Raw genomic sequence first — 6512 nt, forward strand, 5'->3', positions numbered from 1 at the left:
AAAGAAAAGCTTCAGGGTGGCTCACAGCCCCTTTGTGACACAGAAGTCAATAACTAAGCTGTATCTAAATGCCTTGTCCAGGCCAAAATGCAAGCATACTGCCCAGAACTCAGCTTGCACCTGCCAATTAGGAAGCCCACCAGAGGAGCAGAGCAAAGCAGAGGACAAATACATTAAATATTAGGTAGGCTAGATTATTTCCCAGTAGCTTGTCGTCTCTCTTATTTTTTTAAATAAGGCAAAACTTAAATATAAAATGTACCCATTAGAGTTTATGATTCTTCTAGTTTTGAAAAATGCATAAAGTCTTGTAACCACCATTAATAAAGACATAGAAAATCATCAACTGCCTCCCAAATCCTCCCATTGTCCATTGTAAACAACCCCTCCACTGACTTAGAGCCCAGGACAAGCACTAATCTGTTGTCTGTACCTATATATTTTGCCTTTTCAGAATATCATCTATGATGTAGAATATAAAAATTTATCAAATATTGTATTGTGCAAACATTTTTGCCCTGCGTAATTTAATTTTCCTTTTCATTCTTTAAACTGTCTTTTGAATAAAATTCTTAATTCTCATGAATCCCAACATATCATTTTTTAATTTTATTAATCATGCTTTTGGTGTTGTTTAAGAAATCTTTGCCCACTCCAGTGACACAATGTTTTGTTTTTCTTAAAAGTTTTACAGTTTGATGTCTTATATTTAGATCCATAACCAATTTTAAGTTAATTTTTTTATGTGGTACATATTATGATTAAGGTTTGTTTTGTGTAAATAGATGACCAATTGCTTCAACAAAATTTGTTGAAAAGACTATCCTTGTTCCATGCATTTGTCTTTAGAAACATTGTCAGAAACGAAAAGTCCATAAATTTGTTGTTCTATTTCTATATTCTTAACTGTGTTCTTTGATTTTTTTGCTTCTCTTTTCACCAGTACTATACTATCTTGATTCCTGTGGCTTTACAGTAAGTCTTGAAATCAGGTAGTGTTAGCCCTTTAAGTTTGATATGGCTTGGCTGTGTTCCTACCCAAATTTCATCTTGAATTGCAGCTCCATAATTCTGACGTGTCATGGGAGGCACCCAGCGGGAGGTAATTGAATTGAGGGGGTGGGTTTCTTCATGCTGGTCTTGTGATAGTGAAAAACACACATGAGATCTGATATTTTTATAAAGGGCAGTTCCCTCTGACCACTCTCTCTTGCCTGCACCATGTCAGATGTGCCTTTGATCCTCCTTCACCTTCTGCGATGATTAGGAGGCCTTCCCAGCCATATGGAACTGTGAGTCCATTAAACTTTTTTTTTTTCTTTATAAATTACCCAGTCTCGGGTATTTCTTCATAGCAGTATGAAAATGGAGTAATACATTAAATTAGTACCAGAAAGAGTGGGATGCTGCTGTAAAGATAACTGAAAATGTAGAAGTGACTTTGGAACTGAGTAACAGGCAGAGGCTGAAACAGTTTGGAGGGCTCAGAAGAAGGGAGAAAAATGTGGCAAAATTTCTAACTTCCTAGAGACTTGGAGGGCTCATGAGACAGGAAGATGTGGGAAAGTTTGGAACTTCTCAGAGACTTGTTGAATGGCTTTGACCAAAATGGTGATAGTGATATGGACAATAAAGTCCAGGCTGAGGTGGTCTTAGATGGAGATGGGGAACTTTTTGGTAACTATAGTAAAGGTCACTCATGCTATGCAAAGAGAGTGGCAGCATTTTGCCCTTGCCCTAGAGATCTGTGGAACTTTGAACTTGAGACAGATGATTTAGGTTATCTAGTGGTACAAATTTCTAAGTGACAAAGCATTCGAGGGGAAGCAGGACATAAAAGTTTGGAAAATTTGCAGCCTGATAATGTGATAGAAAAGAAAACCCCATTTTCTGGGGAGAAATTCAAGGCAACTGTAGAAATTTGTATAAGTAATGATATGGTTTGACTGTGTCCCTATCCAAATCTCATCTTGAATTCCCAGCTGTTGTGGGAAGGACCTGTTGGGAGGTAACTGAATCCTGGGGCAGGTCTTTCCTGTGCTGTTCTCATGATAGTGAATAAGTCTCATGAGATCTGGTGGTTTGAAAAATGGGAGTTTCCCTGCACAAGCTCTCTCCTCTTGTCTGCCACTATATGAGACATGCCTTACACATTCCACCATGATTGTGAGGCCTCCTCATCCACGTATAACTGTAAGTCCAATAAGCCTCTTTCTTTTGTAAATTGCCCAGTCTCAGGTATGTCTTTATTAGCAGTGTGAAAATGAACTAATACAAGTAAAAAGAAGCTGAATGTTAATCACCAAGACAATGGGGAAAATGTCTCCAGGACACTTCAGGGATCTTTGCCCCTGCCCTAGAGATCTATAGAACTTTGAACTGGAAAGAGATCATTTAGGGTATCTCATGGAAGAAATTTCTATGTGGTGAAGTGTTCAAGAAGAAGCAGAGCATAAAATTTGAAAAATGTGCAGCTTGACAATGGAGTAAAAAAGAAAAACTCATTTTCTGGGGAAAATATCTTCAAGGTATGTCAGAGAACTTTGCGGCAGCCCCTTCTATCACAGTCTTGGAGGACTAGGAGGGAAAAATAGTTTCCTGGGCTGGATCCATGGCCCCTCTGCTGTGTGCAGCCTTGGGACTTGGTGTCCTGCATCCCAGCCACTCTAGCCATGGCTAAAAGGGGCCAAGGTACAGGTTGGACTATAGCATTAGAGGGTGCAAGCCCCAAGCCTTGGCAGCTTTCACTTGGTGTTGGGCCTGCAGGTGCACAGAAGTCAAGAATTGAGGTTTGGGAACCTCTGCCTAGATTTCAGAGGATGTATGGAAATGCCTGCATGTCCAGGCAGAAGTTTCCTGCAGGGGTGGAGCCCTTATGGAGAACTTCTACTAGGTCACTGTTGAAGGGAAATGTGGTATTGGAGCCTGCACACAGAGTCACCACTCAGGCACTGTCTAGTGGAGCTGTGAAAAGAGGGCCACCATCCTCCAGATGTGAGAATGGTAGATCCACTCTCAGCTTGCACTGAATGCCTGGAAAAGCTGCAGACACTCAAATCTAGCCTGTGAAGGCAGCCAGGAGAAGGGCTGTACCCTGCAAAGCCACAGGTGTGGAGCTGCCCAAGACCATGGGAACCCACTTCTTGCATCAGCGTGACCTGGATGTGAGACATGGAGTCAAAGGAGATCACTTTGGAGTTTTAAGATTTGACTACCCTGCTGGATTTCAGACTTGCATGAGGCCTGTAGGTCCTTCATTTTGGCCAATTTCTCCCATTTGGAATAGGTGTATTTACCCAATGCCTGTATCCTCATTGTATCTAGGAAGTAACTAATTTGCTTTTGAATTTATGCACTCATAGGCAGAAGGAACTTGCCTTGTCTCAGGTGAGACTCTGGACTGTGGAGTTTTGAGTTAATACTGAAATGAGTTAAGACTTTGAGGGACTTTTGGGAAGGCATGATTGGTTTTGAAATGGGAGTATATGATCTTTGGGAGGGGCCAGTTGTGGAATGATATGGTTTGGATGGGTCCCCACTCAAATCTTATCTTGAATTGTAGCTCCCATAATTCCCATGTGTTGTGGGACAGATCCAGTGAAAGGTAATTGAATCATGGGGGAAGGTCTTTCCCATTCTGTTCTCATGGTAGTGAATAAGCCTCATGAGATCTTATGGTATTAAAAGGGCAGTTTCCCTGCACATGCTGTCTTGCCTTCTGCTGTGTAAGACATGTCTTTAATTCCCCTTCACCTTGTGCCATGATTGTGAGGCTTCCCTAACCATATGAAACTGAGTCCATTAAACCTTTTATTCTTTGTAAATTACCCAGTCTTGGGTATTTCTTCATAGCAGTATAAAAATGGACTAATATAAAATTCTTTTCCAGAATTTGTTGGTGATTCTAGTCTACATGAACATCAGAAGAAGCATTTGACAGTTTCTTAAAAAATTCTAGATTTTGAATAAAATTGCCTTATATTTTTGGTTCAGTTTGGCAATAATTGCTCTCTTAATAATACTGAGTCTTTCCATCTTGAACATAAGATATCTTCATTTTTACTTAGTTCTTCTTTGATCTTTCATCAGAGTTTTGTAGCTTTCAGCACAAAGACTTCACACATATTTTGTACACCTATATCTAAGTAATTTGTCTTCTCTGCTGCTTTCTAAATGGTACTGATTTTTAAGTTTCAATTTTTTATTGTTACGTGAAGAAAAGTAATTGATATTTGTATATCAATCTTGTAGCCTGTGACTCTGATAAGGAAAGTGTGGGATTGTCTGAATACTCTGCGAATATCTCACCTAAAGAATAATGCCTGCCCTCTTCAAGACCCACCTCTGCCACCCCTCAATGCCTCTGAGTCAGAAAATAGAGTCATATCTCAGTACAGCCAAGTGTGGGAATAGTTCTTGTTTTGGCACCAAATAGATTACATATCAAGGGACTTTTGTCCCCAGCTATGTATAGAAAAGTTATGTTTGTTATTTTCATTTATTATAAGAGCCCTCTCTCAACCCTGAATCAAGATAAAATAAAGTTGCAGAGGGAATTACATAAATTAGTGTGACTATCAAAATCTTAAAGAATGAAGAGGGGATGATCTCCTCAATTTCAAAGTCATCAACATATTCTCTCCAGAAACCAGACTGGTCATGTGAATGATGGTAGACTACCATAAACCAATATTATACTATTGCTAGTTGCATTTGTAATACTAGGTATTAGATATTTACTGAAGTGATTCACACAGCTTCTGACATTTTATGTAGTTATTGATCTGGGAAATATTTTCTCAAAATACATAAATAATGAAACTCAGAAGCATTAATTTTTACATGGGAAGAACAGAAAAATACATTCACTGTCTGTGCACAAGGCCATGTAAAATGTTCTGCTCTCTCTCAAAATATAGTCAGCAGGAATCTTATATATTTTGACATTCTGCAGAATGTTATAAGGGGCTACCATGCAGATGATACTATGTATACGTGTAGCTATAGGAAATAACCAGTGAAATAACAAAATATACTGTTAGGTATTGTACCTATTGATGATGCATTTCTGAATAAATTCAGGCATTCAATGCAATCCAAGGATAATATATATTCAGTATAACTGAAGTCTAGACTTTTCTTAAATATTTAGAAGTCATTTATGGCTCTGAAGTTGAAAATCAAATATATTAATAGTTTAAATTGGAAATCCTTCTGAAAAAGTAATTGCTTCATGGGCAAAGAGTAAACTTAACTTTTTCTTACTTAAACCAAATTTCTTTTTAAACTGGAAAGTGGCTAAATATTCCAACAAATAACACAAAATATTATTTTTTTTCCGAACTGAAAGATTTGTATGTCTAGGTTCATTATATTTAACAATATGTTTGAGAAAGATTGGGGAGGACTACTTGACATTAGCCTATATTTTTGCATGAATTAAAGTTTATCACTGATTAAAATGAGCCTTCCATTTTTGAAGTCTGAATTGCATGGAATTTTAAGGTTTGCATCACAACTATGACCTTTCTGTCAATTGGCAGAAGAAGACTGATTATTTTTAGCAGTTTTAAATATCAAGAGCTTCGTGGTTTTCCTTTCAAACCCAAGTAACAATATCATACTTTTAAAAGAAACAAAAATGACATATATGTTTGATCGATAGCACAATAGGATTCCCCCTCTGCATCTTTCAGTGTATTAAGCATTCTTTTTAAATGTGTATCTTAAACAAAGACAAGCAAGTTACAGAATTTGTATTTGTCACTCTGCCAGTAAGAACAAGTGGTCTATTTTAAGTTCCATCCCTTCAATTTCATGCCATCTAAGTGAAAATTCCTTCTCTTGAGTCATCAAAAGCTCAGAAAACAAAGGGCTTTTAAGGACACACAGGAGGTAATGAGCTTAATTGGTGGCTTCTTGCCTTTTGTTGACTTTCTCCATTAAAACACTCAGAGTTGGGCCATATTTCCTGATAGCCCTGAGAGACTTGCCTTCTTCCTTGATTGTAGAGTTTGTTTCCATTCATTTTCTACTCAGATTTCTAGAGATCATTAACCCTACTATGCCAATTGCATCTGGCCATAATTCATTTTTTCAAATCAAGAGGGATTCATTTTTTCAAATCAAGAGAGATTATTGATTGACTAATCTATGTTGAAAATTCCCTCATGGAGAAAATAGTTTAACAGTTAATTAATTTATATCAGTTTTATCATTTTATTGCTGGTAATTTGTTTGTCCCTATATATTTCTGGGAGTTAAGTGTTACACAGTATTAAGGGAGGAGGCCTGGCTTTGAATCCTGCTCTATTAACCATTTGCTCTGGGACTTTATTTAAGTAACTTAAACATTTTATGCCTCCATTCACCCATTTGTAAAGTAGAGGTATTGATAATATTTATTGTACAAGATTTTTTGTGAGAAATAAGCCAAAGATATCTTGGCAGTTTTGACTAGCATATTGTCATTTACTAGACCCTCAAAAATTATAAATCATTATAATCATTAT

General features: G+C 37.4%; 1 annotated feature.

Moving 5' to 3' along the window:
- Nucleotides 5630-6258: an enhancer, noted in NCBI's record as "OCT4-NANOG hESC enhancer chr6:81914442-81915070 (GRCh37/hg19 assembly coordinates)". NCBI's record gives its function as "activates a minimal SCP1, AML or CMV promoter by ChIP-STARR-seq in naive H9 embryonic stem cells {active_cell/tissue: H9 hESC(naive)}" and the evidence as "EXISTENCE:reporter gene assay evidence [ECO:0000049][PMID:30033119]".

The sequence above is a fragment of the Homo sapiens genome, chromosome 6 (genome assembly GCF_000001405.40).
Source record: "Homo sapiens chromosome 6, GRCh38.p14 Primary Assembly".
NCBI lineage: Eukaryota > Metazoa > Chordata > Mammalia > Primates > Hominidae > Homo > Homo sapiens.